The following is a 15,665-nucleotide window of genomic DNA, read 5'->3' as shown; positions in this document are numbered from 1 at the left end:
AATCCATAAGAAAATGTTTTAAAAATTGGTGACCTGAATGCCATACCAAGAGTCAAAATAAATATAGCCATAAGAAAGTAAAGTTTGGGCTGGGTGTGGTGGCTCACGCCTGTAATCTCAGCACTTTGGGAGGCTGAGGTGGGTGGATCACCTGAGGTCAGAAGTTCGAGACCAGCCTGGCCAACATGGTGAAACCTTGTCTCTACTAAAAATACAATAATTAGCTGGGCGTGGTGGCAGGTGCCTGTAATCCCAGCTACTCAGGAGGCTGAGGCAGGAGAATCGCTTGAACCTGGGAGGTGGAGGTTGCGGTGAGCCAATATCGCGCCATTGCACTCCTCCAGCTTGGGCAACAAGAGCAAAACTCTGGCTCGAAAAAAAAAAAAAGGTAAATCTTGGTCTAGCTAATGTGGAAGACATCTATAATTATTAACTGACTTTTTCACTAACTGTTTCCTAAAATTCAGTGTTCTACAAATTATGGGATGGAAAGTAAGAACGAGCTTTGTTTTATAAAAGATAATTTATGAAGTACTGTTATTCATTATGAAGACAGTTTATATTTGAAGTTAAATTAGAAGTAGTGTTTAAAACTTGCAAGCTCAAGAAAAGTGGGTATTTTTTAGCAGCATTAAAATATTTTGATGACCAAAATCTACTTGAATTTGAACATATTACTAAAATTTGCCTCGTTTTTTTCTGACTTTCTATTAAAAATACTTTGTAGAGAAAAAATAAGGAATACTATAATTTATTTGCAGAGCCCAGCTGGCATTATCCATTAGAGATGGATGTAATTGTCCACTAACATTCTTATTTGATAGACAATAAAAATAATTTTCTCCTTCTGAAAATTTCATGGGGAAGCGAGTCTTATTAATTAGAATAGTAACATGCAAGATGCATGATTTTCTGATTGTAGGCAGAATAAGTAGGCATATAGATCCTTCTTGCCCATGAAGACAAAAACAAAAAGCTTCTGTTCTGGAAAACTCAGTTTCCTTTTATGTGAAATTCTAAAATATGTGGATTTTTCCAATGTAAGTTTTCTTTTTTTTATTATTATTATACTTTAAGTTTTAGGGTACATGTGCACATTGTGCAGGTTAGTTACATATGTATACATGTGCCATGCTGGTGCGCTGCACCCACTAACTCGTCATCTAGCATTAGGTATATCTCCCAGTGCTATCCCTCCCCCCTCCCCACACCCCACAACAGTCCCCAGAGTGTGATGTTCCCCTTCCTGTGTCCATGTGATCTCATTGTTCAATTCCCACCTATGAGTGAGAATATGCGGTGTCTGGTTTTTTGTTCTTGCCATAGTTTACTGAGAATGATGATTTCCAATTTCACCCATGTCCCTACAAAGGACATGAACTCATCATTTTTTGTGGCTGCATAGTATTCCATGGTGTATATGTGCCACATTTTCTTAATCCAGTCTGTCATTGTTGGACATTTGGGTTGGTTCCAAGTTTTGCTATCGTGAATAATGCCGCAATAAACATACGTGTGCATGGGTCTTTATAGCAGCATGATTTATAGTCCTTTGGGTATATACCCAGTAATGGGATGGCTGGGTCAAATGGTATTTCTAGTTCTAGATCCCTGAGGAATCGCCACACTGACTTCCACAATGGTTGAACTAGTTTACAGTCCCACCAACAGTGTAAAAGTGTTCCTATTTCTCCACATCCTCTCCAGCACCTGTTGTTTCCTGACTTTTTAATGATTGCCATTCTAACTGGTGTGAGATGGTATCTCACTGTGGTTTTGATTTGCATTTCTCTGATGGCCAGTGATGATGAGCATTTTTTCACGTGTTTTTTGGCTGCATAAATGTCTTCTTTTGAGAAGTGTCTGTTCATATCCTTCGCCCACTTTTTGATGGGGTTGTTTTTTTCTTGTAAATTTGTTTGAGTTCATTGTAGATTCTGGATATTAGCCCTTTGTCAGATGAGTAGGTTGCGAAAATTTTCTCCCATTCTGTAGGTTGCCTGTTCACTCTGATGGTAGTTTCTTTTGCTGTGCAGAAGCTCTTTAGTTTAATGAGATCCCATTTGTCAATTTTGTCTTTTGTTGCCATTGCTTTTGGTGTTTTGGACATGAAGTCCTTGCCCATGCCTATGTCCTGAATGGTAATGCCTAGGTTTTCTTCTAGGGTTTTTATGGTATAAGGTCTAACGTTTAAGTCTTTAATCCATCTTGAATTGATTTTTGTATAAGGTGTAAGGAAGGGATCCAGTTTCAGCTTTCTACATATGGCTAGCCAGTTTTCCCAGCACCATTTATTAAATAGGGAATCCTTTCCCCATTGCTTGTTTTTCTCAACTTTGTCAAAGATCAGATAGTTGTAGATATGCGGTGTTGTTTCTGAGGGCTCTGTTCTGTTCCATTGATCTATATCTCTGTTTTGGTACCAGTACCATGCTGTTTTGGTTACTGTAGCCTTGTAGTATAGTTTGAAGTCAGGTAGTGTGATGCCTCCAGCTTTGTTCTTTTGGCTTAGGATTGACTTGGCGATGTGGGCTCTTTTTTGGTTCCATATGAACTTTAAAGTAGTTTTTTCCAATTCTGTGAAGAAAGTCATTGGTAGCTTGATGAAGATGGCATTGAATCTATAAATTATTTTGGGCAGTACGGCCATTTTCACGATATTGATTCTTCCTACCCATGAGCATGGAATGTTCTTCCATTTGTTTGTATCCTCTTTTATTTCCTTGAGCAGTGGTTTGTAGTTCTCCTTGAAGAGGTCCTTCACATCCCTTGTAAGTTGGATTCCTAGGTATTTTATTCTCTTTGAAGCAATTGTGAATGGGAGTTCACTCATGATTTGGCTCTCTGTTTGTCTGTTGTTGGTGTATAAGAATGCTTGTGATTTTTGTACATTGATTTTGTATCCTGCGACTTTGCTGAAGTTGCTTATCAGCTTAAGGAGATTTTGGGCTGAGACAATGGGGTTTTCTAGATAAACAATCATGTCGTCTGCAAACAGGGACAATTTGACTTCCTCTTTTCCTAATTGAATGCCCTTTATTTCCTTCTCCTGCCTGATTGCCCTGGCCAGAACTTGCAACACTATGTTGAATAGGAGTGGTGAGAGAGGGCATCCCTGTCTTGTGCCCGTTTTCAAAGGGAATGCTTCCAGTTTTTGCCCATTCAGTATGATATTGGCTGTGGGTTTGTCATAGATAGCTCTTATTATTTTGAAATACGTCCCATCAATACCTAATTTATTGAGAGTTTTTAGCATGAAGGGTTGTTGAATTTTGTCAAAGGCTTTTTCTGCATCTATTGAGATAATCATGTGGTTTTTGTCTTTGGCTCTGTTTATATGCTGGATTACATTTATTGATTTGCGTATATTGAACCAGCCTTGCATCCCAGGGATGAAGCCCACTTGATCATGGTGGATAAGCTTTTTGATGTGCTGCTGGATTCGGTTTGCTAGTATTTTATTGAGGATTTTTGCATCAATATTCATCAAGTATATTGGTCTAAAATTCTCTTTTTTTATTGTGTCTCTGCCTGGCTTTGGTATCAGAATGATGCTGGCCTCATAAAATGAGTTAGGGAGGATTCCCTCTTTTTCTATTGATTGGAATAGTTTCAGAAGGAATGGTACCAGTTCCTCCTTGTAACTCTGGTAGAATTCGGCTGTGAATCCATCTGGTCCTGGACTCTTTTTGGTTGGTAAGCTATTGATTATTACCACAATTTCAGATCCTGTTATTGGTCTCTTCAGAGATTCAACTTCTTCCTGGTTTAGTCTTGAGAGAGTGTATGTGTCAAGGAATTTATCCATTTCTTCTAGATTTTCTAGTTTATTTGCGTAGAGGTGTTTGTAGTATTCTCTGATGGTAGTTTGTATTTCTGTGGGATCGGTGGTGATATCCCCTTTATCATTTTTTATTGCATCTATCTGATTCTTCTCTCTTTTTTTCTTTATTAGTCTTGCTAGCAGTCTATCAATTTTGTTGATCCTTTCAAAAAAAACCAGCTCCTGGATTCATTAATTTTTTGAAGGGTTCTTTGTGTCTGTATTTCCTTCAGTTCTGCTCTGATTTTAGTTATTTCTTGCCTTCTGCTAGCTTTTGAATGTGTTTGCTCTTGCTTTTCTATTTCTATTAATTGTGATGTTAGGGTGTCAATTTTGGATCTTTCCTGCTTTCTCTTGTGGGCATTTAGTGCTATAAATTTCCCTCTACACACTGCTTTGAATGCATCCCAGAGACTCTGGTATGTTGTGTCTTTGTTCTCGTTGGTTTCAAAGAACATCTTTATTTCTGCCTTCATTTCGTTATGTACCCAGTAGTCATTCAGGAGCAGGTTGTTCAGTTTCCATGTAGTTGAGCGGTTTTGAGTGAGATTCTTAATCCTGAGTTCTAGTTTGATTGCACTGTGGTCTGATAGATAGTTTGTTATAATTTCTGTTCTTTTACATTTGCTGAGGAGAGCTTTACTTCCAACTATGTGGTCAATTTTGGAATAGGTGTGGTGTGGTGCTGAAAAAAATGTATATTCTGTTGATTTGGGGTGGAGAGTTCTGTAGATGTCTATTAGGTCTGCTTGGTGCAGAGCTGAGTTCAATTCCTGGGTATCCTTGTTGACTTTCTGTCTCGTTGATCTGTCTAATGTTGACAGTGGGGTGTTAAAGTCTCCCATTATTAATGTGTGGGAGTCTAAGTCTCTTTGTAGGTCACTCAGGACTTGCTTTATGAATCTGGGTGCTCCTGTATTGGGTGCATATATATTTAGGATAGTTAGCTCTTCTTGTTGAATTGATCCCTTTACCATTATGTAATGGCCTTCTTTGTCTCTTTTGATCTTTGTTGGTTTAAAGTCTGTTTTATCAGAGACTAGGATTGCAACCCCTGCCTTTTTTTGTTTTCCATTTGCTTGGTAGATCTTCCTCCATCCTTTTATTTTGAGCCTATGTGTGTCTTGGCACATGAGCTGGGTTTCCTGAATACAGCACACTGATGGGTCTTGACTTTTTATCCAACTTGCCAGTCTGTGTCTTTTAATTGGAGCATTTAGTCCATTGACATTTAAAGTTAATATTGTTATGTGTGAATTTGATCCTGTCATTATGATGTTAGCTGGTGATTTTGCTCGTTAGTTGATGCAGTTTCTTCCTAGTCTTGATTGTCTTTCCATTTTGGCATGATTTTGCAGCGGCTGGTACCAGTTGTTCCTTTCCATGTTTAGTGCTTCCTTCAGGAGCTCTTTTAGGGCAGGCCTGGTGGTGACAAAATCTCTTAGCATTTGTTTGTCTGTAAAGTATTTTATTTCTCCTTCACTTATGAAGCTTAGTTTGGCTGGATATGAAATTCTGGGTTGAAAATTCTTTTCTTTAAGAATGGTGAATATTGGCCCCCACTCTCTTCTGGCTTGTAGGGTTTCTGCCGAGAAATCTGCTGTTAGTCTGATGGGCTTTCCTTTGAGGGTAACCCGACCTTTCTCTCTGGCTGCCCTTAACATTTTTTCCTTCATTTCAACTTTGGTGAATCTGACAATTATGTGTCTTGGAATTGCTCTTCTCGAGGAGTATCTTTGTGGCGTTCTCTGTATTTCCTGAATCTGAACGTTGGCCTGCCTTGCTAGATTGGGGAAGTTCTCCTGGATAATATCCTGCAGCGTGTTTTCCAACTTGGTTCCATTCTCCCCATCACTTTCAGGTACACCAATCAGACGTAGATTTGGTCTTTTCACATAGTCCCATATTTCTTGGAGGCTTTGCTCATTTCTTTTTGTTCTTTTTTCTCTAAACTTCCCTTCTCGCTTCATTTCATTCATTTCATCTTCCATCGCTGATACCCTTTCTTCCAGTTGATCACATCGGCTCCTGAGGTTTCTGCATTCTTCACGTAGTTCTCGAGCCTTGGTTTTCAGCTCCATCAGCTCCTTTAAGCACTTCTCTGTATTGGTTATTCTAGTTATACATTCTTCTAAATTTTTTTCAAAGTTTTCAACTTCTTTGCCTTTGGTTTGAATGTCCTCCCGTAGCTCAGAGTAATTTGATCGTCTGAAGCCTTCTTCTCTCAGCTCGTCAAAGTCATTCTCCATCCAGCTTTGTTCCATTGCTGGTGAGGAACTGCGTTCCTTTGGAGGAGGAGAGGCGCTCTGCGTTTTAGAGTTTCCAGTTTTTCTGTTCTGTTTTTTCCCCATCTTTGTGGTTTTATCTACTTTTGGTCTTGATGATGGTGATGTACAGATAGGTTTTTGGTGTGGATGTCCTTTCTGTTTGTTAGTTTTCCTTCTAACAGACAGGACCCTCAGCTGCAGGTCTGTTGGAATACCCTGCCGTGTGAGGTGTCTGTGTGCCCCTGCTGGGGGGTGCCTCCCAGTTAGGCTGCTCGGGGGTCAGGGGTCAGGGACCCACTTGAGGAGGCAGTCTGCCGGTTCTCAGATCTCCAGCTGTGTGCTGGGAGAACCACTGCTCTCTTCAAAGCTGTCAGACAGGGACATTGAAGTCTGCAGAGGTTACTGCTGTCTTTTTGTTTGTCTGTGCCCTGCCCCAGAGGTGGAGCCTACAGAGGCAGGCAGGCCTCCTTGAGCTGTGGTGGGCTCCACCCAGTTCGAGCTTCCCGGCTGCTTTGTTTACCTAAGTAAGCCTGGGCAATGGCGGGCGCCCCTCCCCCAGCCTCGCTGCCGCCTTGCAGTTTGATCTCAGACTGCCGTGCTAGCAACCAGCGAGACTCCGTGGGCGTAGGACCCTGCGAGCCAGGGGCCGGATATAATCTCGTGGTGCGCCGTTTTTTAAGCCCGTCGGAAAAGCGCAGTATTCCGGTGGGAGTGACCCGATTTTCCAGGTGCGTCCGTCACCCCTTTCTTTGACTGGGAAAGGGAACTCCCTGACCCCTTGCGCTTCCCAAGTGAGGCAATGCCTCGCTCTGCTTCGGCTCGCGCACAGTGTGCGCACCCACTGGCCTGGGCCCACTGTCTGGCACTCCCTAGTGAGATGAACCCGGTACCTCAGATGGAAATGCAGAAATCACCAGTCTTCTGCATCGCTCACGCTGGGAGCTGTAGACTGGAGCTGTTCCTATTCGGCCATCTTGGCTCCTCCCCCCCCAATGTAAGTTTTCTCAGATGCAAACATTTTTGAACAAGTTAATGCTGTATTTACTCGGAAAAAGAATAAGTTGGAATTGGGAAGACAAAAGAGAGGTAATGCAGATGACAGATGACGGAACAGAAAAGTGTTTTTTTGCAATGCCTTGTTAGAAGACAAAAAGGAAACAAGTCAATCCAGGTGAATCCTGAACATTTGTCTCCTGGATCAGTCAGTGTGGAGAAACAGCCATTGTCAACGAGGGGCTGGCAGAGCCAGGGCACGTGGCTTAGCCATGACCTCACGTATTCTCTCACGGTGTCATTAGGGATAGTACTCGGACTAATAACCCTGAGCATCCCAGAGGAGGTTGGCCAACAGCTCTGAGGCCCCCCACAGCATGTGTGTAAGGATGCAACAGGGAAAATGATGCCAGAAGGACAGCCTGTCACTCTTTCCCAGGAAACTTTGTCTGTCAATTCCTCACTTTCCTGAATATTTCATTTCTTGTGTCATTACTGTCTCCAAGCACTTTTACTATTAAAATTTTAAACATAGAGAAAAGTTGAAAAAATTGTATAATGAGCACTCATTCACTGCTAGATCTACCATCTTGTCATTTCTTTTGAACTTAAAATAATATTTCTTGGAGATAGTAAATAGTGAATGAATATTTGCTAATTTCCTCCTAGTATGAATGTTAGATAGTGTTATATGGAAGAATAAATTTTAAAAATTATAAATTGAAACAAAGAAGAAACTAATATATAGAGAGCAAATAGCACTATCTGAAGCAATTGTGTAATTTGTTAATACAAAAAACCTGCATTCTTTGTAATGCAACCAAACAAAAGTATATAATGTTTGGAAAACTGAATTTATTATTGATATTTTAGCTTTTTCAAATTGTCTCTTTTTTTAAGAGGAAAACTATGTAATAGTTTCAACAATTTAGATAACAGATTGATCTCCTAATAGGTCATTAAACTTCCTTTGCATTTTGATGGTCAAAAAAATCATGAAAGCTATACTCGACTTTCCCCTGAATTTCCAGTTTGTCTAATGGCTAAAGGAGAGAAAGCAGAATCAGGAGTGGATAATACAGCTGGCCTTTCAGAGAAGGAAACACAGAAGAATCCTCGTGCACCAATGGATGAGGCAGACGTTAAATCCGCAGCACACTCTTCTCAGGGTTGGTTGACTTATTTTTTTCCCAGCATTCTATTGCTAGTATTCCAAGTTGTGCTACATAAATTATATTATGAATATAAGAAACTATCATTCTTTTAAAATATGTTAGAATATTAGTTTTTATATCACATTGTCTATTACATTTGTAAATATAAAATAACATCATTGAAACAAGTCTTTCTCCATGACCTTATTGCTTTGAAAGTTTTGTTGTTGTTGTTGTTAAGGGGGCATCATTTGACTTCTGTTGGTTCTTATTTTTAGATTTCAAATTTTCTTGCATGCTCACAAGACTGGTAACCAAAAACTGGCTATGAAAGATAAAATATTTTCAGAAAAATGTTGTCAATTAATATAATTTATTTTATTGGCCTTTGTTTTCAAAGACTGGTTTAATCAGGCAATAAATAAGCAAATAAAGTTTTTGGAAATATTCAATCTACAAAAATTCCAACTTACAGAATATATATGCTATTAGAGATTATTATCCTTCTTATAAAAGGATTGTTGCATTTACCAAAAGATTCACAAGCTTCTTTCACAGAGTGTATCCTCTAGCAGTAAATATTCGTATCAGTTAAAATAGCAGTTGATGGATTGGTATTAATTATAATAACGGTAGCATGTAATAGTACTACCAGCATTGTACTAATGCTACAACTGATAAGAAGCCTTGTAATAAGTAATTTACTTTTATTTTTGAAATTATTAAATATTTTAAACATCTTATACAGAAAATAACATAACACCAGTACCCAGTACCCAGCTTTGCTGATTTTTACTATTTTGCCGTATTACTTCCCATCTTTTCTTTCAAAAAATAACATTTACCCGTGATTAATGCTCTCTGTGAACTGCTCCCTAATTCCATTCCCAGCCTTCTCAGATTTGTTATTGATCATTTCCATGTATATTTTAAAACATTTTCTACATATATATGGAATCACTAACATTGTATATCTTTTCTATGTTTTTAAACTTTGTATAAATATATCATACTTCACATCTGCTTCTGTAACTTTTATTTTCTCTCAGTGTTGTCTTTGATATTTATCTAACTATATCTGTCTGTCATCTATTTCTAATTTACTAATTTTGTTGTTATATTGGATTCCTTTGCATGATTATAACAAAATTTATTTATGTTTGTTATTGTTGTTGTTACTAGTTATACTCTACTGCAAACAAAGCCACAATGACCAGTCTTGAACATGCTCTGCTTGTGCACATGGGTGTGAATTTCACTAGAGTCTACACAACCCCAAAAGGAATGGCTGAATCACATGCACACACTTTCTAACTGTAGAGACTAGTGACACTGCCACCCCTAGTAGTATGTCAATTTACCCTCCTAACTGTTGTGTAAGAGAATTGCTTTGGCCCACATTCTATCAACCCTTGTTAATGTCAGATTAGTTTTGCCAATTCAATTGCCATGAAATAATATCTCTTTATTTTAACTAGGATTTTTCTGGATACAAGTATATTAGAGCATTTTTGAAACTGTCTGTATTTCTGTTGACCATTTGGGTATTATCCTGTGGGAATTGCCTGTTCCTATACTTTATCCACTTTTTCTTTGGGCCATTTTTTTGCCTCATGGAGCTGTAAGAGTTCTGGGGCTTTGTTGTTGTTGTTGTTGTTGTTTTTAGGTGAGTGGTAGGGGACATTTATTTTCTGGTTCAATTTTTGATTGTTACTTATTATTTCATCATTCTATGTTTAATTCATTAAAAACTAATTGGGTTAACTTGGTCGTAGTACATTATCTTTTAAATTTTAAATTTATTTCATTTTGTTAAAGTTTTATTGAGTAGGTGATATATCCACATTGTTCAAAAGAAAACCTGCCTTCCCCTGCTGCTCCCCATCAACCTAGTTCTTCTCTCCGAAGGAAACCGATGTTTTTTGTGTATTAGTCGATACTTTTATGTATCTATAAGAAAATACACAAAACTATTACTATAATTTTGAAATACCACTAACTCTATCATTGTATTATATATTTTTCTTGTCATTCCTAATGCTTATTATTAATACTAGCCATCATTTTTTTTCGTTATTAGTCTTGCTTTTAATCTTTTCATTTATTTTTTTCAGTATACAACTGACTTTTACCTTCATTCAAGTTCTCCACTGATTGTTTATTTTCTATGTATTTATCCTCTTAACTTTTTTATGTATCTTAACTTTTATTAGATCATAGAAAATCTACACATTGTAGATTAGAGAAAATTATGAATGGATCTATCCATTCCTTCCTGTAATTTTGTCAGATAATGCTTTATATATTTTAAATCTGTTAAGTGCATACAAGTTTATAATTGTTATAGTTTGGAGGATGTTATAATTCTTTTCTACTACTGTTTGTCTATTAATACTTTTGAATTTATGTTCTATTTCATCTGATATGAATACTACCCACCTGAATTATTATTTTTTAGTATTTTCATGGCACACATTATTATGCCACACGTTATTTTTAAATCGTAACATTTATCTGTAGTACAGTTTGGGCATGTATCAGTTAGTAGCATAAATCTGGATTTTATTTTCTATTCAAGACAAGTTAAGGGGTACAAAAATACAGTTTTAGATAGAAGGAATAAATATTAGTATTTGATAGTACAGCAGGAAAATTATAGTTAACAATAATTTATTGTATGTTTCAAAATAGCTAGAATATCAGATTTGTAATATTCATAACACAGAGAAAAGATAAATGGTTGAGTTGATGGATATCCTTAGTACCCCAATTTGATCATTCGCCATTGTAGAGAGGTATCAAAATATACATGTACTTCCAAAATATGTAAAACTCACATATAGTAATTAAAAATAGAAGAAAAGACAAGTAGATAACATGTGCCATTTAAATAGGTAAGTTTAAAGTTTTGGAAATTACTCTTATTATTGTTATATTTGTACTTGATGGCATCTAATTTTGTACTTTAAATTTACCATCCTATTTTTACTTTTTAAAAAAATTAATTTGCTTATTCCCTTCTGTCTGTATAATCTACAGGTTTTATCCATTACTTTAAATGTTATCCTCCATTTCTGATTTACATATTTAACTATAAACCATCTCTAAAATTCTAAGCTCCGTCCTTAGTTCCATTCTTTTCCCGGGTGTGGCAAGGGCTTTTAGCACGTCTTGCCCATTGAAAACACCTCCTCTTCCTACTGCTGTTGGCGGCTGTGGTTTCAGTTCCACTTTTTTATTAAACACAACAGTCAGTATTTTTTACTCTTAATAGAAAATTAATTTAATGACACGTTGGTGCTTCATTGTAGTTTTAAGATAACATGTCTTCACTCTGGCTCCATTTTTCTTCTTGCTGAAGTAAGTCTCTAGTAATTCGTTTAGAGTTTGGATCTCTCTTAGTCATTGTATGTCTGAAAGAGTCTTTATTATTTTCCCTCGTTTTGATAGATCATTTAGCCATGTGTAAGATTCTAGGGTAGTAATAACCTTTTCCTTACCATTTTTCCACCGCCTTTTTATGTCTCTTGTGGCAGATCAGAAATCAGTGTTAAGTGGGTAGCCATTATAAAGGGGCGTTATGGATTTCCATTTCAACTTTAGATAGATCACTGATACATTTTAGGAGGATTTATTTGAGCAGAGCATGTCTAAAACCAGAACAGGTCGGAAAAGCTTAGAGTAGTCCAAGCAAAAGATGAGGGCCTCAATTAGGGCAGAGAGAATAAAGTTAGAGAAGAGAATGAACATTCATAAAGTGTTAAAGAGGTGCAATAGAATGGCCATAAAAATGATGTTGTTGATTGATTGAATATGGATGGTGGAGGATAACAAAGTTGATTCCTAAACTTTGAACACAATAGATATGGATGTCAACCAGCAGATAATAGGAATCACAGGAAGAGGAATAAGAGTAGAGGAAAACCAGGAGCTTGATTTTGGATCTACAGGGTTTGATATTTCTATATTATATCCAAATAAAAATGGTGAAGGGGGCTGGGTGTGGTGACTCACACCTGTAATTCCATCACTTTGGGAGGCCGAGGCTGGTGGATCACTTGAGCTCAGGAGTTTCAGACCAGCCTGGGCAACATGATGAAACCCCATCTCTACTAAAAATACAAAAAAATGAGCCAGGCGTGGTGGCAGGTGACTGTCATCCCAGCTACTCAGGAGACTGAGGCACGAGAATCACTTGAACCCGGGAGGTGGAGGTTGCAGTGAGCTGAGATTGCAACACTGCACTGCAGCCTGGGTGATAGAGTGAGACTCCATCTCAAAAAAAAAAAAAGAAAAAAAAAAGTTCAAGAGATCATTGGGAAATGGTTGTGAAGCTCAGGAGGGAGATGGAGAAGGGGGAGGGAGTACATGTTCCTTAGGCCCATGTGAACACAGAGACTGTAGCTGAAACTGCTAAGTGGTTGAGTATTTTTGTTGTTTTTGTTTTTTTTTTTTGAGACGGAGTCTTGCTCTGTCGCCTAGCTGGAGTCTAGTGGCGTGATCTCCGCTCACTGCAAGCTTCGCCTCCTGGGTTCATGCCATTCTCCTGCCTCAGCCTCCCGAGTAGCTGGGACTACAGGCGCCCACCACCACACCCGGCTAATTTTGTTTTTGTATTTTTAGTAGAGATGGGGTTTCACCATGTTAGCCAGGATGGTCTCGATCTCCTGACCTTGTGATCTGCCCGCCTCGGCCTCCCAAAGTGCTGGGATTACAGGCGTGAGCCACCGCGCCCCTCCAAGTGGTTGAGTTTAACCAGAAGGAACGTGTAGAGGGATAGGCGTGTTGAGTTGAGAACACAGATCAGGGAAACGGCAATGTTTCAGGAGAAGAATGACGGATCCCTACATGGAGTCATAATGGCCAGACACAATGCCTACACGATTCTACCTCCCAGGTGGCATCTGTCTTCCTGTCTTCTTCTGCCTATCAGCTTCATAGAGAGTGATAAATATTTCTCAAGTTGTTACTAGGGTTCTCCAAGTCCCTTAGAGATTATGCCTTCTTGGACCAAGTACAACTCTCTGCCAGGCTCAAGTATTGGTAACCCCTGCTTTCCTAAGGGCAGGTCTACTATGAGGCCTGGGCTTCCGTATTCACACCTGACCTGCTTTCTTGTGAGTAAGCCAATACCATATCACAACTGAGGTACCACCACCTCAACCTCCAGACAACTAAATATCAGTTTATAGAGTGATGCCTACCTGGAGATATGTTGAAGTTTTATACACAGAATACATATATATCAAATTATGTCACTGGCTTTAAACAAATATTTCTAAAGATAAATTAGAAATCAAATATATGCTGAAGCTATGTAACAAGCATCACAGTTATAAAGCAACTTGACCAAAGTGTATTGTTTCCCACATGTTAGAACTAGGATTTGCGGCCAGAGAAGGTAAGAAATAACTGACAACATGGTCTGGTTTTGGTGGGTAAAGTGTGGAGCTAGTGATCCTCAAAATACACAACTTGAAGCTGGCTTTAAGCATTTATTTTTTATCTTTTTGAGACAGAGTTTCGCTCTTGTTGCCTAGGCTGGAGTGCAATGGCGCAATCTCGGCTCACTGCAACCTCCAGCTCCTGGGTTTAAGCGATTCTCCTGCCTCAGCCTCCTGAGTAGCTGGGATTATAGGTGTGCACCACCATACCCAGCTAATTTTGTATTTTTAGTACAGATGGGGTTTCTCCATGTTGGTCAGGCTGGTCTTGAACTCCTGACCCCAGGTGATCCGCCCGCCTTGGCCTCCCAAATTGCTGGGATTACAGGCGTGAGCCACTGCGCCCGGCCTTAAGCATTTTTTATGTTGAAATTTAATAGGTTCAAGGCTTTAATTTTTAAATTTTAAATACAAATATCCAAGGTACGTATCAATGAGTGTGTCAGTCTACTTAGTGTGGATAAAAGGAAGGTAAGAGGTGGAGCATAAAATAAGCCTAAGGCCCTGGAAGTCTGAAAAAGAGCAGAGAGTGTCATAAAAGGGGCCCCTCGGGAGGCCGAGGTGGGCAGATCACTCGAGCCCAGGAGTTCAAGACCAGCCTGGGCAACATGGCAAAGCCCCATCTCTACAAAAAATACAAAAATTTACCAGGTTTGGTGGTGCACGCCTGTAGTCCCAGCTACTTGGGCTGAGTCAGGAGGATTGCCTGAACCCAGGAAGTCGAGGCTGCAGTGAGCTGAGATGACATCACTGCACTCCAGTCGGGGTGACAAAGTGAGACCCTGTCTCAATAAAAGGGGGGATGGGTTCCCAAAGCACAGACCAGCCACTGTCAGATTTAGCCTCATTCCGAATTCCTTTGTGGGGCAGTTATGTGGAGGATGTTCGTGGACACTGTGGGTAATTCTCATTCAGTTGTCTCTGCAGGAGAATCACTTTTATACCATTCCTGTGTGTGGAATTAGATTAGTCAGGCCTTCCAACCTGAGGGCCTGCGATGCCCTTGTTCTGTGAAAACAAATTACTTTAACATTAGCATATCATCTGTGTAACCTGGGAAGCTAAGGCACAGAAAGGGAAGGAAAGGACGAAGCCCTTGCTGATGGTTGAAGATAATCTTCCTAAGATAAAATTAATAATTCACAAAATACAAAAGGAATGATTATGATTTCATTAGATAAAACCCCAGAAAACCACAGATTTTTTTTTGCTTAAATATCAAGTTCAAAAGTCAACTGTAAAGCCGCCACATGAGACACTGTAAAATACATGTATTTGCAAAGCAGGGTTTTTTTTCTTTTTCTTTCCCAGTGATTTTGGATTAAATATGGAGCTAAATATTCTTACTTTAGAATTTTTAACTTTTGGGAAAGTGAGTTTGACTTAACTAATAAACTGTCAGTATTATTGACGTTTTAACCTAGTGTTAGGATACTGAGCAGAAGATGACAGCCAATTACTCCTAGACCATTTTGGCTTTCTAGTTTTTCCTCAGGGTAATGTAGGCTATATTTTCCACACCTACTGCACTGAGCTATAAACTTGACTTCTAGAATGCTGCCCCTAGTTCCCCTAAAAGGAGGACAGGTAGCACTCTAGAAAACATGAATACCAGCATGTTCAATCCGAGAATACTGTATATCACGAGAGGAAGAATGTTTTCTGTTTAGGAAAATGCTTTAGAAAAAAAAAGATTAATCATTTGCTCTGCTCTGAGCGTGGAGACTTATTCAAGCCTCACATTCAGAGACTGCAGAGGCATCTTCTGCTCTTATTCTAAACAAATTTATAGACAAACGGAACACAAAAATCTCTTCAAATACATGCCTTTACTATTGCTTATATTTATTTATTTTTCTTGGAAGCATATTATTAGCAGTTGATGTCCCCCATGGGTTTGTTTTCTAATATATCAGGGCTGTGATACAGTGTGCTGTTTCTGCCACTAATATGTTGCTAAGAGATTTAATAATGGGTAAACAAA

The 15,665-nt window shown here is 38.8% G+C and overlaps 1 pseudogene across 1 annotated transcript in view, besides 2 other annotated features; it reads left to right on the top strand.

Moving 5' to 3' along the window:
• The window catches only part of OFCC1 (orofacial cleft 1 candidate 1 (pseudogene)), a 506,631-nt pseudogene that overhangs the window by 393,780 nt on the left and 97,186 nt on the right, over positions 1-15,665 (top strand). The window lies entirely within an intron of this gene.
• Positions 6,343-6,858: an enhancer, noted in NCBI's record as "H3K27ac hESC enhancer chr6:9811204-9811719 (GRCh37/hg19 assembly coordinates)". NCBI's record gives its function as "activates a minimal SCP1, AML or CMV promoter by ChIP-STARR-seq in primed H9 embryonic stem cells {active_cell/tissue: H9 hESC(primed)}" and the evidence as "EXISTENCE:reporter gene assay evidence [ECO:0000049][PMID:30033119]".
• Positions 6,859-7,375: an enhancer, noted in NCBI's record as "H3K27ac hESC enhancer chr6:9810687-9811203 (GRCh37/hg19 assembly coordinates)". NCBI's record gives its function as "activates a minimal SCP1, AML or CMV promoter by ChIP-STARR-seq in primed H9 embryonic stem cells {active_cell/tissue: H9 hESC(primed)}" and the evidence as "EXISTENCE:reporter gene assay evidence [ECO:0000049][PMID:30033119]".

Source organism: Homo sapiens, chromosome 6 (genome assembly GCF_000001405.40).
Source record: "Homo sapiens chromosome 6, GRCh38.p14 Primary Assembly".
Lineage (NCBI taxonomy): Eukaryota > Metazoa > Chordata > Mammalia > Primates > Hominidae > Homo > Homo sapiens.
The sequence above is the reverse complement of the archived record's forward strand: the minus strand, read 5'-3'. Positions and strand labels throughout refer to the sequence as shown.